This window comes from Homo sapiens, chromosome 4, assembly GCF_000001405.40.
Source record: "Homo sapiens chromosome 4, GRCh38.p14 Primary Assembly".
NCBI classification, from domain to species: Eukaryota; Metazoa; Chordata; class Mammalia; order Primates; family Hominidae; genus Homo; species Homo sapiens.
The window spans coordinates 107,885,311-107,903,421 of NC_000004.12; the positions used below are offsets into that span (position 1 = coordinate 107,885,311).

At 37.6% G+C, this 18,111-nt stretch overlaps 1 protein-coding gene and 1 long non-coding RNA gene across 19 annotated transcripts in view, besides 1 other annotated feature; one reads left to right on the forward strand and one right to left on the reverse strand.

Annotated features, from left to right (window-relative positions):
- SGMS2 (sphingomyelin synthase 2) overlaps positions 1 to 18,111 on the forward strand; it is a 90,485-nt gene that overhangs the window by 60,748 nt on the left and 11,626 nt on the right. For 12 of the 18 annotated variants that reach the window (NM_001375906.1, XM_047449717.1, XM_011531701.3 and 9 more), the window contains 3 exons: positions 10,000 to 10,698; positions 14,265 to 14,382; positions 17,923 to 18,076. In NM_001375906.1, coding sequence (NP_001362835.1) covers positions 10,244 to 10,698; positions 14,265 to 14,382; positions 17,923 to 18,076 — 727 coding nt within the window. In that variant the 5' untranslated portion in view covers positions 10,000 to 10,243. Of the gene's footprint in view, positions 1 to 7,919; positions 8,349 to 9,999; positions 10,699 to 14,264; positions 14,383 to 17,922; positions 18,077 to 18,111 lie in introns of those variants that run through there. The other 6 variants (XM_047449714.1, XM_047449715.1, XM_047449716.1 and 3 more) reach the window with 5 other exon arrangements.
- The window catches only part of CYP2U1-AS1 (CYP2U1 and SGMS2 antisense RNA 1), a 68,641-nt gene that overhangs the window by 21,832 nt on the left and 28,698 nt on the right, over positions 1 to 18,111 (reverse strand). Inside the window, exons 2-3 of the long non-coding RNA NR_125929.1 lie at positions 7,757 to 8,327; positions 1,357 to 1,516 (exon numbers count right to left, since the gene is read on the reverse strand). This is a non-coding gene — a long non-coding RNA (CYP2U1 and SGMS2 antisense RNA 1). The remainder of the gene's footprint in view (positions 1 to 1,356; positions 1,517 to 7,756; positions 8,328 to 18,111) is intronic.
- Positions 6,007 to 6,737: an enhancer, noted in NCBI's record as "OCT4-NANOG hESC enhancer chr4:108812473-108813203 (GRCh37/hg19 assembly coordinates)". NCBI's record gives its function as "activates a minimal SCP1, AML or CMV promoter by ChIP-STARR-seq in naive H9 embryonic stem cells {active_cell/tissue: H9 hESC(naive)}" and the evidence as "EXISTENCE:reporter gene assay evidence [ECO:0000049][PMID:30033119]".

Here is an 18,111-nt window from a genome sequence, read left to right on the forward strand (position 1 = left end):
CAAACATGTTTAAAAGGAAAAGACATTATTATCTGGAGTGAAGCCAAAATGGCATTTGGTAAAACTCAGTATCCAATTGATGTTGCAAGGGAAAAATATTCAGTATTTTATTTTAATAGAAGTATGTATAGTTAGGCTCTTTTGATGTCAATATCACACAATTTTAGCTGTGTAATATATGTTCTAATACCTAGTGGGAAAAGTCTTCTGCTGCTTTCATATTCACTCCTAAATAAGATTTAGAATCTTTTTGTCAAATACAAGAAAACACATCCATAGACACCATTGTGCTTCTGTGTTTTACTTCTACATCTCTACTTTTTAACATTGTTCTAGCCAATTAAGCCAAGAAAATGAAAACAAAACAGGCAGGTAATGACTAAAAGGCAGAAAAGAATATATATGTGAAAATAACTAAAACATACAATATTCAACTGGAAGGTTAGATTTTGTTTACAAATTAAAAACACAGTATCCTTATAGAATCAGTAATAACCAGTTAGAAAACCTAATAAAAATATGATCACTTACTTGACTATTGGTTACTGATGTAGCCACTACAACAAAGACAAAAATGGCCTCAAATTTTAATAATTAAAATAAATGTTCAGAACTTATTTGAGGAAAGCTGTAAAAATTAGCTGATGTGGATAGAAGCAAACATAAAGCTATACTATATTCATACATGGGAAGCTGAGGTTATTATACCAGTAAAGATTTGATGTTGCCATACTATATAATGTGAGTCATTTCCTTTTAATAATGCCAATAGAATTTTTCCTGTAGTCTGATAAAATGATTCTAAAGTTCATCAGAGAGTAAAAATGGTAGCAGCAGCAGGTTTACACCACTAGGTTACATTACATAACTAATACAGCACCTTTGTTGTTGTTTTTTTTTTTTCTTGGAGACAGGGTCTCACTCCATCACCCAGGCTGGAATGCAGTGGTGTGATCACTGCTCACTGCAGCCTCAACCTCTTGGGCTCAAGTAATCCTCTAACCTTAGCCTCCCAAGTAGCTGGGACTACAGGTGCACCACCACACCCAGCTAATTTTTTTTTTTTTTTTTTTTTTTTTTTTTTGGTAAACGCAGGGTTTCGCCATGTTGCCCAGACTGGTCTTGAACTCCTGGGCTCAAATGACCTCCTGCCTTGGCCTCCCAAAGTACTGAAATTACAGGTATGAGCCACCACATCAATAGAAGGAATCTCCTCAGATAAGACTTTTTTAAAACCAGCCCAGCCGTGGATTTGTATCATCAAATACCTGTGAATTGGGTGATTCTCTCCTCTTGAGGTTCTAAGATAAAGCTTGGAGCTCCTAGGCCTGTCAGAAAGTGACATTCTTTACTTACCACAGGTCAGGAACCCTATACAGGGACTGTGTAGACATGTATGAGGCCAGTTTTCCCAAGAGGCTTTTATTGGCTCCATAAGTCAAGTTTGATTCTTTAAAGGAAAGCACACCATTCCAGCCTAAGCCTTGGTAAAATAACCAGTTTCTCCAGTTGTGTCCTGTTATAAATGAAAACAGATTCTTATTGCACTTACGCAAATAACTGTATTGCTGTAAGTTAAGAATACAAATAGTTGCCAATAGTTTCCAAATTCTTGAGAAAGCAGGTAGAGAGAAAACAAATATGCTCCACATTTTGTTCACAGGAGTATACTTTACTCAATTGTTAAAAGCTGTAAATAGCTTAAAAGTTTTCCTGACTCTGAAAAACAAAGGATGAGCAGGTTTTAAACAAAAAAAGTTAAAAAGATTACTTTAGACTTCTGTTAGTTTAGTCCATGCAGTTAATTCCTGTTCTGCTTAATATTCATGAACATTTCAGCTCTCCATGAGTCCTGAAAGTTTTTCCTCTATTCTGATGTCACAGTCTCCACAGTTATCAGAAACCTGCATTCAGGAGCACCTGTAAGGGTTTTATAGCTGATTATAAAACCACCTTCTAAAGAGGACCAAAATAAGACAATTTTCTGTGGATGACAAAACGTTTTAGGGCAGCCATAGTCAAAGACACAATTGGAAAGAAATTTGTTACCTCTGTGGCATACAATAATTTAACATAATTATAATTATTACTGATAATGTACATTAAGTCATATCAGAATTATGGAAGTTTCCCATAATTTTAGAACACATACCAATAGCATATTTATACAAATACAGCCCAAAGAAAACCAAACATCATTTTATATTTGACAATGCTTTCTGCATAATTTTTATACCAAAGCCAAATATGTCATTTTTGGACTTTAGGGAACCTAATATCTTAAAGGATTAATTAGGTAAGAAAAAGGCATACTTTATAATTTGATTTGGAAAGTTTGTCAAATATCAAAAGTTTAAAACACTTGATATCACAAAATAGGATCACAGGTCATTGTAAAATAAGTCATTTCATTTAACCAAAGTGATAACACAAGGATAAAAAGGCAAAACCTTCATTCTTTGGGAAAGGAGACTTAATTTTCCAAACAATAAGCCTGAATAAAAACAGCATGAAGCCAATTAAATTTGTTTTTCAAAATTTTATAAACCATAAAATTTTAATTTTGACCATAAGATAAAACTTCCATAAGCCTTTTATAACCTTTATAACCTTTATTAAGGAGTCAGTTAATGCTTCAAGAAAACCTTGTTAATCAGACACAGGGACCCATATGCTTGTCTTGCATCAGTGTGTCTTTGACATTGATAATTAATTTGTAGAGAAACTGAACTTATCTCTCAAAATCAGTTCCTACAGTCTCATACGCCCACCTCTTCCACGATAGTTCCTGGGCCTTGAGGAGTTGAATAGCTTTAATTTCTGGCCCAGTGTCTTAGGAATGCAGTTTATTTTGATTGGCATCTTCTACCTGGCCTGAAGATGGGGTTTAATTGCTGTCAGTGTTTAAAATTTAACAGGACTTGGTGTCCTTTTCAGACACAAAAGTCAAAGGCCTGTAACTTAATGTCACAAGTACCTTAAAAGCACATACAAAGAGATACATGGATGCAATAACCTTAATTTAAAAAAAAACTTTTAATCTCAGTTTTTTCCTAAGCAAACCAAAACTTAATAATATGACAACTTGATAATATAAAAGTTTATTTTTAAATCCTCTCATTGTGACTTACACAGACCGTTCATGACATGCTTGGACTTTCTGGTTTGTCCTGAACATCCCTCTTTCTTAAACAACCAGTCATTCTACTCTAGGACTAAATTCTCTCTCGTATGAAGAATCTCATACAAAATTATTTTTCATTTGAAATTATTTCTCTTTAAGCTTTCTTACCAAAAAAAAAATTATTTTTATAACTTTCTCTACATCTCTTGTATTTCCTGGTTCATTTTACCTGGTTTTATACATAACCTTTAAATAAGCTTTGAATTAGACAAAAATTGTTCACCCTTTTTTAAAAGGACACACTTTTTTTTTAAGAAAGAATGTTTTCCTACAAATATATTTTATTGGAAAATATCCAAATAATGAAATATCTATTATTTAATTTAACTTTAGATTCTAAATTATGACCTGTTTGTCTACAATTATTTATCCCATTACATTTACCTAATTATTTTAATTGTTTATGTAGATTATTTATGAAAACTGTGATAGTCATCATTTAAAGTTTTGGAACCACCATTGCAAAATTGTAACTGAAACAGTGAAAAAGATTTAAACTAACTGACTTCATCTTGCTTTTAGCCTCCAATCTGTCCTTGTTCATTCCTGGGTGTAGGCCAAACTATTTGGGACCTTAGCTTATAGTTTAGCTTTGAAACAAAGACAGTAACAGTCCTTTCTCAAAACAAACCTCAGTCCCTGTGGACTAAACTGCCCAAAGCCACAAGATTAGAAGTTATGGTAATCTTACTAAATTCAAGATGTAGCTATTTTTTATTAAACCAATATCAATGTCTTGTTTATTAAAGGTTACACAAGGAAAGTTCATTCAGCTTTGGGCTAGGTTCATAGTTTTATAACCCCCATGTCAAATTTTGACACCTTATAGTATTTGGCAGGGATAAGTATGAAATTGCTTGATTAATAAATGCAAACAAGAATGTATGCTGGCAATTCTTAAGACATTTCTAATATTACTTTACCAATAATTTTAAAGCTAGCTTATTTATTAAAGATTTCACTTAAGTTCCGTAAACTTGAAAAAGCATTTGATTAGTCTCTTATTTTTTCCTGATAAACTATTTGATTCAAGTGCTTTTTTCTTTAAGCCAATTAATTAGAGCTTTTTAATATATTTTCAGTAGTGAAACATTGTGTACACAACATATAAATGCATAGACATGTTAGGCATGCCAATAGAAACACATCTTAGATTCATAAAAAACGTTTTTTTCCTATCCTAGATTTTCAAGATTTTGATAACCTGTTTCACAACCTTAGGTAGTTGTCAGCTAAATAGCCTTAAATTTGCATATTAAAGGAAACAACTCAGGTGAAAATCAAATAGCAAAATTTGCATCATAAGATACAGAGAGAAAAAGTCTAGAGGGAGATTAAAGATGGATGCCAAATCGAACATAAAATTATAAAAATCTATCATAGGATTGCATAAGGAGACCAATTTTATTTAGAGACTACCTATCTTTTAACCAGATCTCTGAGCCCTGGGCAGAGCCCACACTGAATCCTGGGTTTCCAAAAAGGGAGAATTTTTATGAGGCTGGACCATGTGATGTTTTTATGGTTCACTTAAAAAAAATTTTTTTAAAACAAAGACATTTTTAAGTGTCTAAACTACACTTTTCTTTAAAAACCCAAGAGTAGCCTCTGTTGCAGTAACTATTTTAGTCAATAAATCAGGTAACAATATAAAAGCAAGCAGTTTAAAAGCTGAGATGAACTTGTCTGTTTACACTCTTCAAGTTCCATAAGGAGAAACAGGTTTCTCCCCGAAAGGGAGTCTGGTGTCTTCTCCATTTTCTTTAAGGAACCCCAGGCTATTATAAACTAGTTTAGGTCCCTCATGCAGCAGAGGGTGAAAGAGAAAGGAGAGACAGCAGAAGTAAATGAAGAAAACAGAATCCAGTCAACTGAGAAGAAAAAATTTAAAAAACGGGCGCTAGGCATGGTGGTTCACATCTATAATCCCAGCACTTTGGGAGGCCAAGGCAGGTGGATCAACTGAGGTCAGGAGTTCAAGACCAGCCTGGCCAACATGGTGAAACGTCATCTGTACTAAACATACAAAAATTAGCTGGGTGTGGTGGTACGTGCGTGTAATCCCAACTACTTGGGAGACTGGGGCAGGAGAATCCCTTGAATCCAGGAGGTGGAGGTTGCAGTGAGCCAAGATCACACGACTGCACTCCAGCCTGGACAACAGAGCAATACTCCACCTCAAAAAAAAAAAAAAAAAGACAAGGTCCTGGGGGAGAAAAAAGGAATAAAAACATGAAGGCCTTTTAAATACAAACACATGTAAACGTACAGACACACATCTTGGATGGTAGTTTTCAATTAAGCTGACTTTAACCATTAAGTTCCTTTAAAAAAACAACTCTTTAAATCTCATTTCCATATTTCACGAACTAGGACAAATTGCCGCTATTTCAGAAGTACCAAGTATCAAACCAGAAAGGGCTTGATTTAGGAAACAAAACTCAGGCTGTCATGGTGGGAAAAAAAAGGCAGAACCCTAGCTATTGAAATGCAGTGTGAGGTGACTGCCTTTGCTTTCAGTTTGACCTGGCTAGCAAAAAGGTGGCTTTGTTATGTAAATAAAGCCCCTTAAGTAGTCAAAATTAAAATTCTTTCCTTTTTTTTCTTTTTTTTTCCTTTTTCTGGCTGTTTTTCTCCCCCCCATTATACCACCTTACCATACTACCTTTTTTGTGTGTGTCTATGAGAATTTAGCCACTTCAGTGGCCTTGTTCCCCATAATTTGGAACTTTCCTTCGGATTTGATCAAGTCGGAAGAAGTTGGTCAAACCCAATGGGAAAAAGACTGAAACAACAAGAAAAAGAGAAACAATAAAAAAAAACAGTTAAGCAAAAAAAAAATGATTGCACAACTTATATGATTACTGAGCACTCTAATGGTAAAGACATTAAGACCAGCTGGTTGTTGATTTTAACTTTAGCCAAGACAAACCCCAATTTAGTTATCTAGGGGTTGTTGGGTCTCAGGCTGAAGACTGCTTTCTATCCTAGTGAAGCAGCCTTGTTGTCTGGGGTGATACCTGAGGTTCATTGTCTCATGCAGAGGAAATCAAGGACATGGACACACAAGGAGTGAGGTTAAAAGCAGAGGATTAATAGGCAAAAGGAAAAGAAGAACTTTCTCCTGCAGAGAGAGGGGTCCCAAATGGGTTTCTGCTTCCTCAGTGAAATGCAGGTTTTATAGATGAGCTTGAGGAGGTGGTGTTTGATTTACATAGGGCATGAAAGATTGGTTGGACCAGGTGTGCCATTTGCATAAGGGTGCAAAAAGCTGGCCACCCCCACCCTAATGTTTTATTATGCAAATGGATTATCTTCCTGGCCCACACCATGTTGCCTGTTTCTTTACACATGGTGACAAAAAGGAAGATGGAGCCTACACGTTGAACATACCTGGCCCCCAGGTAGCCATTTTGTATTGGCACAGCTGCTGGCAGTAACCTGTGCAAGCTTCCAGCTTGCTTATCTATGTCTGCAGCTCAATTTTTCAGGCTGCTCTTCATTAGACAAAAGAAGTTTCTCGGGCTGCTTTCTGTTAGAAGGGAAGCCTTGCCAAGAACTCTTACCCTCACTATCTGCCTAAATAACTTCTATCTCCTGTGTCACTAGGAGCAGGAAAAAAAAAAAAAAACCTCATCTTCCCTGTTGGAAGGGAAACTCCGTAAAGGAGTTACCTACCTTCCATCATCATGGAAGCAGGAAAAACTTGCCTGCCTTGTGTTGGAAGCAACTAAAACTCCAAAAAAAAAAAAAAAAAAAAAAAGGTTGTACAGCAAAATAAACTTTAGATCTCAACCAGAATTGGGGAGATCAGGGATTCTCTGGAATGGGTGCTTCCAGGCCTCAGCAAATTGTCCTATTGGTTTAAGCCATAAAGATAGCCCAAGGTTGAACCAAGCACTGATAGGAGATTTGTTAAAGGTCAGGGGCACCTCCACTCAGAATCCCTCTGTGGTTACCAAAATGTGAACCCTGAAAATCTGAGACAGGTCTCAGTTAATTTAGAAAGTTTATTTTGCCAAGGTTGAGGTTGCACACCCATGACACAGCCTCGGGAGGTCTTGAAGACATGTGCCCAAGGTGGTCAGAGCACAGTTTGGTTTCATACATTTTAGGGGGATATGAGACATCAATCAACATATGTAAGATGAACATTGGTTCGGTCCGGAAAGGTGGGACAACTCAAAGTGGGGAGAGGCCTTCCAGGTCATAGGTAGATAAGAGATAAATGGTTGCATTCTTTTGGGTTTCTGATTAGCCTCTCCAAAGAAGGCAATCAGATATGCATTTATCTCCATGAGCAGATGTGTGACTTTGAATAGAATGGGAGGCAGGTTTGCCCTAAGCAGTTCCCAGCTTGACTTTTTCCTTTAGCTGAGTGATTTTGGGACCCCGAGATATTTTCCTTTCAAAATAGGAATGAATATGTTGTGATCATTATCTTGATGACAAACATTTCGTCCCAAGATTTGTTCACACATGATGAATGTGCTATGTATATTTAATCTTAATGAAATCCCAAGGAAAATATTAATTTTAACACTAATAACGATAAATGGGCATTGTACTCACATAGTGTTCTTACTCCCAGGGGCACAAAGCTCTTCACAATTAATTATTTCAGTCATTCTCATAGCAGTCCCATGAGGTGGGTGGCTGAGTGTGTCCTCTTGGAAAAAAAAAAGAAAAAAGGTTACTAATTGGATTTTCTTCTGTTCCACATTCTGTGTTCTAGAACCGAGTAGCTACCTTATAAAGACCATCTGTACATCCACTGTGAAATGGAGTTTCAAAATCACAAGCTTCTTTCCCACATGAACATAAGACTAGGAGCACATATGGAAGAGTAAAGTTGAAGGGAATTTGGATGATGATTTGGCAAGATGCTGTAAGTGGATTAGGCAAGGCTGCTAAAGAGAGACAGGAAATGGCTGTGTTAGTGCTTCGGACCTCCGTTAGAAGTAGCAGTTCATGGTGTTGAAGGTTTGTTGTTGAAAATACCTTCCTGAGGCACCTCTTCATTGTGCTTATTCTTCCCACAACATTGTGCCAAGACACTGTCAAGCCTGGGCCTGTCAAAGCCTGGGATGTCAAAGGCCTGGGTCTTTCTCATCCTGCTGTAATGTATTGATAGCTGGGGGCTCTGCAGAAGGACAAGGGAAAGGTGAGATGTTTATAATTCTCAGTAGTACCTTTTAGCTAGTCTCATGCTCCCTTATCCCCCATTTCTCTACCAGGCCAGCTTTCCACATGCTTTTGCTTTCTCAGAAACAGAGCCTGTGTGTGGACACATCTTGTCCCTGGAGCAGGGAAACAGTACAGCTAAACCTCTCACTTTACCTAGTGATCAGCTCATCCCTCTCCTTCCTTTCACAATATGCCATTCAGTCTTCTCCAGTAGTCTTTCATCATTTTAGTCCTGTCTCTTTGGTTAGACTGCAAGCTCTTTGGCTGAATGTTCAGGTCAGGTGTTTTTCACTCCTTTTAATTTGCCCTACATAGCCTTCAGCACTGGGGCATTTAGGTGCACAGTAAACACTTGTGGTTTATCTATTTGCCACCCATAATTGTAAACAGACATTGCCTGTACATATTGACTGCCATTTTCGCTGTGTTTTTTTTCTTTCATTAAATAAAGGCTTAGCTGTCATCACTTTGAGTTTGTCCTCCTCAGTTTTCCCTGAAGTTACCCTGAAACGGGGAGGCAGGGGAGGGGGGAGGTCCTTTAAAATGCAGTGGATTGTGCTTAAGTTGAGCAGTGTATCCAGGGAGAGGACTAATTACGAGGTTTGAAAACCTCATCAGGTGGCTGGTTTCTGTAGCAGGACTAAAAGACTGCTCTCCTAAATTGAGAACAGCTGGGGCTGTGTGCTAGCAAGTATAAAAGAGGTGGCAGTGGTGCCCCGTGTCCGAAAGAAGTGTGTGCTCTCTGGAGCCTGTGGAGCTGAAGCCAAAGGTAGTTATCCTCATCAGTGTCGTGGTGGGTGAGTCCCCTGAGCTGGTCCTCTGGAGGCCCGTTTCTGTTGTTTGGTAGAAATTGTGGTAGCTGAATCAAAATATTGTTAGTTACTAATTTATCATGCCAATTGTAGTGAGGTATTTTTATCCTTCAAATAAATTCTACTTGTTACCTGCGTGAGAGACATAGCTAAGGCTTGGTGTATCTTTTCAGAGTTATTTTGAAGGCTGCCAGCTTTTCTTGTATATGGTGTGCGTCTCTGAATATAAAAGGATAAACTGAGGCTGTGCCATTTTAAAAATCTTGAATGTGTTGTTCTTGAATCTGTTCTTAAAAGCGGTCACTTAAAAAGACTTCTGTTTTTTAATTAGAAAATAGAAAATTGACTATTTTGACAAATGAAGAGTAACAATTATTCAATGCATATAAGCCTCTTACCAGTTTTTTATTCTTTCTTTATGGCTCATAGAAAATACAGTCTTAGGAAGGATTGATGTGATCTCTGGGTAATTTCTAGCTTATTATGACTTCATGGTTAGCAACAAGTGATAGTGTCTGATGAAGTGTTTGCAATGTTAGGTCCTGATTTTTCTTTAAGGAAATTTAAAGGGAACTGATTGTTAAAATGTTCCTATTTCTACCAATACTAGCTCAAAAAGAGACAAGAATTCCAAGATAAAACTGTTCAGTATTTTGTAAATAAACTTGATCTCAGCAGCTTTAACTAGGTTCTGACGTTACATTTATAAAGCAAATGGCTTTGGTATTTGTTTCCTTAGTTTAAGAATGTTTCTGTTTTGGATGGTTGACAGTTGGACAAGCATAGTTTCTGAACATAATTTTGTTTTGCTTTTAGGTGGGATAGTAACATCTTTTTGAGGGAAGAATTGGCTTCCTTTCTTGAAAGTGGTGAAGGTACAGCATATAGCTGCATGGAAGAAACAGTAATCGGATGGCTACCTTCTACATTTTGTATTAGGAAACAAAGTCCATTGTAAGAGTCCATGTTGATCTTGGAAATAGAAGGATTGAAAAAAGCTAAATTTCCACAAAGAACAAGAACTTGACCATCTCCTTTTTGATCTGAAGACTAGGGGACAATGGATATCATAGAGACAGCAAAACTTGAAGAACATTTGGAAAATCAACCCAGTGATCCTACGAACACTTATGCAAGACCCGCTGAACCTGTTGAAGAAGAAAACAAAAATGGCAATGGTAAACCCAAGAGCTTATCCAGTGGGCTGCGAAAAGGCACCAAAAAGTACCCGGACTATATCCAAATTGCTATGCCCACTGAATCAAGGAACAAATTTCCACTAGAGTGGTGGAAAACGGGCATTGCCTTCATATATGCAGTTTTCAACCTCGTCTTGACAACCGTCATGATCACAGTTGTACATGAGAGGGTCCCTCCCAAGGAGCTTAGCCCTCCACTCCCAGACAAGTTTTTTGATTACATTGATAGGGTGAAATGGGCATTTTCTGTATCAGAAATAAATGGGATTATATTAGTTGGATTATGGATCACCCAGTGGCTGTTTCTGAGATACAAGTAAGTAAATCTAATGTTTTGAGGATTTGTCATGGGTTTGTTTTTGAGTGAATAGATGGGTTATTGAGATTATTTTTCCTTTTTTTCCCCCAATAAATTCAGTCTTACCCAAACATTTGATGAAAGAAAACAGTAGAAAGCTCTACCACATTGAATAAATTCAGTCACTATTCAGTAAGTGTTTGATGAGCAACTGTGTATGAAAGTGGCAGTGTACAGCAGTACTGTGGTGGATGACTCAGAGTTGATGAATTTAAGGTGCAGTTCCTGACTTCCAGCAACTTGGTGCTATGGTATTTGTATGATAAATCAAGAGGCTTGGAAAGGAATAACATTCACTCCCATCATGTTTGTTATTTCAGGCTCTTGACAAGTGGGAAAAGGAATAGGTTGAGAAACTTTTTTCTCCATTACTCATAATGTGATGTCTGTATTGGTCTAGAGTCAATAGCCTGCTTTAAGGTTTGCCTAGATTCAATTCTCAAATTTTACATTTCTGTGGGGCTGGGTGTGTGGATGTGGTTTCGGTTTTTTGTTTGCTTGCTATCTAGTTACAAGTGTTTAAGAGACTGAGTTTAGAACCAGATCCATGCGGTTTTGATTTTTAGATTTCTAAAGTAAACTTGCCCTCTGATTTTCCTTGGACACCACAAAGGAGCTCATGGTTCACTGGGTTCAGCCTCCTCATTTTTGGAATAGTAGGAAATCAAGAAGAAATAAGTCAGGTACTTTTGCTTTGAAGACACTTAAGAATTGGACATAGCCCTGAAGTGGTTATTTCTGCTTCTCTATGTGAATTCTGACTCCTAGTCCATAAAAACGAAGGCTCCTTAATTCCTCCTTTCCTCTCATTCATCATTTAGACATTTGTTTTCCACTGGGATGGTAGTGATTAAATCACTAAAATATGATTTTGATCAAAACACTGACCATAATACAGAGTTTAAAAATGTAATGTATGCTAACTTGGATACAATCTGAACATTCCAAGTCAAATAGGATTTCAGTATTAATGCCACAAGATCATTCTTAGAGAATTTTGGCTGTATTGTTTTTTAGTTGGTAACACTTTTCATTACTTGATCAATTATAGAACTCTCAATGTGGTATATCCACTCAGACCCTAACACTGTTACTGTTTTGTGATTAGAGGAATTCAGTCTATCTTTGTTAAAGAGTTCCCCAAATGCAACTTTGCAGTCTTAAAACCTTATTCCACAAACTGCAGTCATTCCTAAGCATTTTCCTTAATATAACTCTTCATGTGTTTCCTTAATATGCTTAAGTAATAGACTTAGCTATGAGTTGTCTTTTACTTAAAAAAGTAACCTGCTCCTGAAATTGTTAAAGGATGCTTTATGCTAAAAGCAAAAAATGTATTTATGAACTTCAGTGTTTTTCTCTTTAGTGTCTGGAAATTAACACAATGTAAGAGCCTGCTAAGGCGGCAGATAATTTGCTTTCTCCTTTATTTAGAGCAAGGTTTTATTGATATATGTGTGAAAAGAGAAATTGTCCAGAATCTGGTAAGTATGTGGACTCCACCCTGAAGTACAGTCTTTCCCTCAATTTAGCTGTATTTTCATCTAGATCCTTTTTGAATTTTCATTAGATAGTTATTATTAACTGCCTCTACCTACCACCTTAGATTTTCAACATGTCCAAACACACGGTCACATAGCCAGACCATAAATTTTAATGATATCCACTGTTTCAGTCGCAATTCACACAAGTTTGCCTTTTTACATTTGAAGTAGAATTGGATCTTACATTTTAGTAACTAGTAGAATAATTTTTATAACCTGTTTTGAACATCCCAGCTGAATGAGGAATGTTGCTTGCTCTCTCTTTTAAAAGCACCTTTCAAAGCTATGGGAAAAAGTCATTAGCACTAGTTCTTTTTCTAAATAAGGCTGTAGAGTACATCTTTCACCTTCTAAGTTGGTTTTCTGTTCTGAGTACAGCTGAACTCAGAATGCTGGAATGAATGTAATTGACTCATAATAATTTCTGCTTATTACTTCCCCTTGTCTAACAGCATGGAGCACAATTCAAAACAGCACTCTGTTGGAACCTGAGGTTGGATCAAAGGCTAAATTGGTTTTCCCTTAACCAAGGGAAGAAACTCAGCACTGTTTATTACCTGCTCCTTTTTAGTACCAGGAAAGGCAGAACTAGAATAGCAAGCCTTTAAAGAAATTCCTTGGGGATAAATAAATACTCTCATCTACTAGTCTAGGTGGTGTTCCCTTCTATTTTTTTTTTGACCCCAGAAACCTTGGAATATTCTTAAAATAGCTGTTGGAAACAGACAGCTGAAATATATATTTATACATAATTCTTGAAATTAGAAGTTCCAAATGTTATCTGAATTAGACCTTGATTCATGTCAGAACCACAATCTTAGGGAAAACTTAAAATATGTCACATTACCTGAAACTGCCTGTTTTTTCAGAAGTCTTTGATCACTACCAGTCTTGAAAGCTTGAGACCTCTGAAAATGAGAGACCTAGAGTAATATGTTTTATGCAGTAATGAAGTTACACCTAGCAAGTCTAGGGGCTTTATGTGGAGTCCCACTCATCTCTTAATCCCCAGAGCCCAGAGCTGACAGACCTAACTATACAACAGAAAAGGAGCTGTCCTGTTCAGCTGGACTAAAGACATTCAGACCCATGATGCCCATTCAGATACCCATGAGGCAATGGTACAGTGGCAGAGCCCTTCCCTTTTGAAGACAGGATCCTCCGTCATCCACTGGGAAGCCTGCCTCAGGCTGAGGACTCAGGTCATGAAGCACAGGGGCTGATGTTAGGACAACGTTCTTCTCACAAAAATATAAAGTGAAAAATGACTTGTGGGATTTTTTTATCCTTTTTTTGATCAAGATTGAATGAAATAATCAGCTTACACATTCACTATTAAATGTAATTAACTGTATGAGAACACTTTGGACATTTTCAAGATAGAGTTTTTTGAAAATCTAGTCATAGAGAAAATAGTTCATGCCCGTATTGTCAAAATACCTTCAGATGGTCCTCAAATAAACCCTGCTTATATACCGTGGGCTAAATGTGTTGTCACATTTCCCTATGTGTCTAATTATGTAATGTCACCTTGGCTCATTAGTTAATTCCTCTGTTACTGTGGCTTGCTTATTCCTTTCATATGTTCTCAAGAAAGGGTTTTAATGCAGTGAGTTGACTGAAAATACAGACAGGTTCATTCTCTGGCAAAGAGTGCTTTTGAGGAGAGGTGACTATGTAGACTCTTCGTCTACTTTAGTTCCCCCACCCCACACACACACATCCTTTGGAAGCCAAACCACCTAGATTTATTGCAGTATGTGAATCTTCATTTCTGAAAACTGTGGTGCAAATCTCTCCATGAAACTGTAGGGATGGGCAACTCAAAAGTAAGCCTTTAAACTCTGTGAAACTGTGGTTTGTTTGTTAATGCCATTCTGTACTGATTATTCTTTATCCTGTTAAACATTGTTTTATTTTTCATTAGGAGTAAAACCAACCAGTAAACTTGTTTTTCCCCATCCCTATTTTTTCTTTTAGGTCAATAGTGGGACGCAGATTCTGTTTTATTATTGGAACTTTATACCTGTATCGCTGCATTACAATGTATGTTACTACTCTACCTGTGCCTGGAATGCATTTCCAGTGTGCTCCAAAGGTCAGTACCTCCAAACTGCCACTTAGAAGAAATCAGGCAAACAGTTATTGATCACTTACCCTGTATTATACATTCTTCTAGACACTTCCCTATGTGTTAGCTGAAATCTAGCATCTTTTCTATTTTCTATTTAGATTTGAGGGGAAGAAATTAAAATGTATTTATAAAATATATACCTTTTGTGCTAAAAAAATGTATTTTCTGTTAACTGAAAATTACCATTGGGGGTTTGACTCTGCTTTTTTACCTTCTCATTTACTTATTCATTAATGCTTTCATTCTACAGGCATTAAGCTTATGTACCAGGGATTGTAGTAACCCAAACAATGTCCCTCTTCTGGAGCTTATATTCTATTGAGGGATGACAAATTATAAACAAATTCATAATTTGTCACATGCTGATAAGTCAGGTGATTGTCAGGTGATTGTCACAAGCAGAACAGCAAAGCTGAGTAAGGTGAAAGGGTGCTTGAGGGTTCTATTTGATATAGAGGTCAGGAAAGCCTTCTTTAATAACGAGGCATTTGGGCAGGAACCAAGACAAGGAAGTGAGCCATGTGGACGGCATGAGAGCTGCAGGCTAAAACATTGCTTATTCACAGTGGGTTAAAGGAAGAGTAGGGAGGCCGGTGTCTCAGAGTGGAGTTGTGAAGGGTTGGGGTGTGCAGACCACAGATCACATAGGGTCTTGCAGCCTAGTATAGGAACTTTAGCCTTAGTGGTAGCAGTGGAAATAATGAGAAGTTGTTCAGTTCGGGATATAGGATATGCTAATAAGTTGGATATGGGTTTGACAGAAAGAAGTCAAGGATGACCCCAAGGTTCTTTAGCAGCTGGAAAGAGAGAGTGGCCTTTGACTGAGATAGTGTGTGAGGATGTCTTCTGAAACCATCCTAAGAAGGAATTACAGTTTATCCAGGAAGAGCGAGTTCTTGAGAGAGCTGTTAATCATCTCGGACTTCAGTGCACCCTGGTTTACAAAATGGAAAATTACAAATCATGTGCTTTCTGGACAAAGGAATGAAGTCTAACATCATATTTTACTGAACACTAAGCAGATGTCTGAGGTGAAAGAAAAATCAAGCTTCTCTGAAGACGTCCACAGTCTCCCTCACCAAATATAGGTGTGGTTTGGAGAAGCTATACTTTTCCAAAGCCATCAAAGCAGAAAATATCTGTAATTAAAACTGTGCATATTGAATTTAAACACTGGCCGATTTTAGTGAAGCTAATTTAAGGCGTGGGAGAAGTTCAGAAGTGTAATAAACACTTCTAAGGGGCTATTGCAATGTGTTAAATGGAGAAATGGCCACAGAAAAGAAGGCAAACCCATCTTAGTAACGGATGAGGTTTGCAGGATGAATTGCTATGATTACAGAAAGAAAGTAAATTAAAGATTGTCCTCTGTGGAAGAGTTGCAATCTTTGGAAGCCACATCAGTGCCGTTGGATAGCCAAGCTACAAATAGTCATAGTGGAACCTCTAGTAACATCCTTACTAATCATCTCCCAGGTTCACTTGTCGGGACCCCTTCCTGAAGCATAAGCAAGCCATATATGCCTGAATCATGGTTCAGTAAAACAAACACAAATCACTTAGTTTGACTAGAGGTGAGGTGCTTTTACAGAACAGGCATCAGAGTTGTGTTCTAAATTTGGTTCATCTGCTGGCTTTGGGTGCTGCTTAGATTTTTATGGTTACAAAGCTATTACAAAATCTTGTCTCCTGTGTTGCTGACTCTATAGGAATGTCCTTCATGAGTATAAGCATGGCAGAACTTTGTATGTGGAAGCCACTCACTATGGAAAAGTGTCATATCTGTTATAGTAATTGATGCCTGTACAACTTGTAACTCACCAGACATGCTTACAAGAGCCAACACAGTGAAAGCTTTGCTTTCCTAGTTTTCCAGTTGCCTGCTCCCTTATGTATCCTATGGTTCACTTTTAATTTTTTGCTTATAATTTGCTTCAACCTCCAACCCAAGTTTTGATTTACAGTCAGACAATCTGTGTTCTTCAAAGTGTGTTTACATAAGTGTTGGCCCCATTATTATAAAAGGATTATGTGAAATGATTTAGCTTTGCAAACCTATTTTTCCACATACAAGAATGTTTGGCTGGGAGAGCAACATTCCCTTCCCTGAGAAAGCTTTCTAGGGCGAGCTATCCCTCATCTTGGCCATAGGTGGCCAAACACTTACCTCCTTCTTCTTCTTTTTTTTTTTTTTCTGAGATGAGTTTTGCTCTTATTGCCCAGGCTAGAGTGCAATGGCGCAATCTTGGCTCACCGCAACCTCCACCTCCCAGGTTCAAGTGATTCTCCTGCCTCAGCCTCCCAAGTAGCTGGGATTACAGGCATGTGCCACCATACCTGGCTAATTTTGTTTTTTCCTTTTTTTTTTTTAGTAGAGACAGGGTTTCTCCATATTGGTCAGATTGATCTTGAACTCCTGACCTCAGATACTTACCTTCTTAATGGAAGAAACAGTGTAGATGATAAGCTTTCCTTTTTGGCAGCAGCCAAGTTGGTCTCTCCTGTACCTAATGTGCCACCCATTGCACTCCAGTCTGGGTGAAAGAGCAAGACCCTGTCTCAAAAAAAAAAAAGGTCTTTCTGTATTTCTCTTCCATGTATTCTATTACATGATTTTTTTTTCTGAGCATTGTTCTTTGATTTTCTCAATTTGCTTTATACTTATCTGATCTGAATCCCCCACCCTATCTAGCCCCTCAATAATTCAGTATTCCAATTTTCTATGCCTACAGTTTGGACCAACTCCTTCCAGTATGATTAAATTGTAATGGGGTACAAACCTCTCTGGCCCCTGGCCTAGCCCAGCGTTGTTTCTCACTGTCATCACAGTGGCTTTGCAGGGCTGCTGCACCTTGTCCAGAGGAGCTCTCCCAGCCTCCTGCCGTAGCACACAGGCTATTTCTTTAGGGGATGTTTTTCCTAATCAAAGCTACTCATTTTTAAAGCTGCCAGTACATCCCTAATCCATCATTTTCAAACCTATTTAAATTATTTAATGAGTTGCAACTCCTCTTCTTAATTGTAAATGTTTTGATCAGACATTAATGCAGCTATATATCTGTCCACTTTAGGCTGCCCACCTAATACAAGATACCAATACACTGCAGAGAATATTGGTAATGTGGTATGCAGCTGAATCAAATATTAACCATTCAAAACCCTCACTTCCCCCTGCAAAAAGAAAGTAGCTTTGATCTGCTTTTTAGCACGTAGCTGTGGTGAAGTCATTGGTTATTAATATTTTTAAAAGCTTTGCCCAAGGACACACCACCACCAAGACATATTATTAGTAACATATTGAATAATTTAAAACGTCAATAAAGCTTGCCAATAAATGAATAAAACCCAGTTTGAGGAGCTTCTCCTTGGATTCTTTTTGACTTTCTAGGTTAAAAAGAAAAAAAAAATCACAACCTGGTGTCCTTTCTAAGAGTCACACAATTAGACTGAAACATGATTTTAGCCACTTGTAAATTCCCTTCTTAATCTTCTTGTGTCATTCAGCTCAATGGAGACTCTCAGGCAAAAGTTCAACGGATTCTACGATTGATTTCTGGTGGTGGATTGTCCATAACTGGATCACATATCTTATGTGGAGACTTCCTCTTCAGCGGTCACACGGTTACGCTGACACTGACTTATTTGTTCATCAAAGAATGTAAGTAATAGCCCATTCCCACTGAACTGATAGCT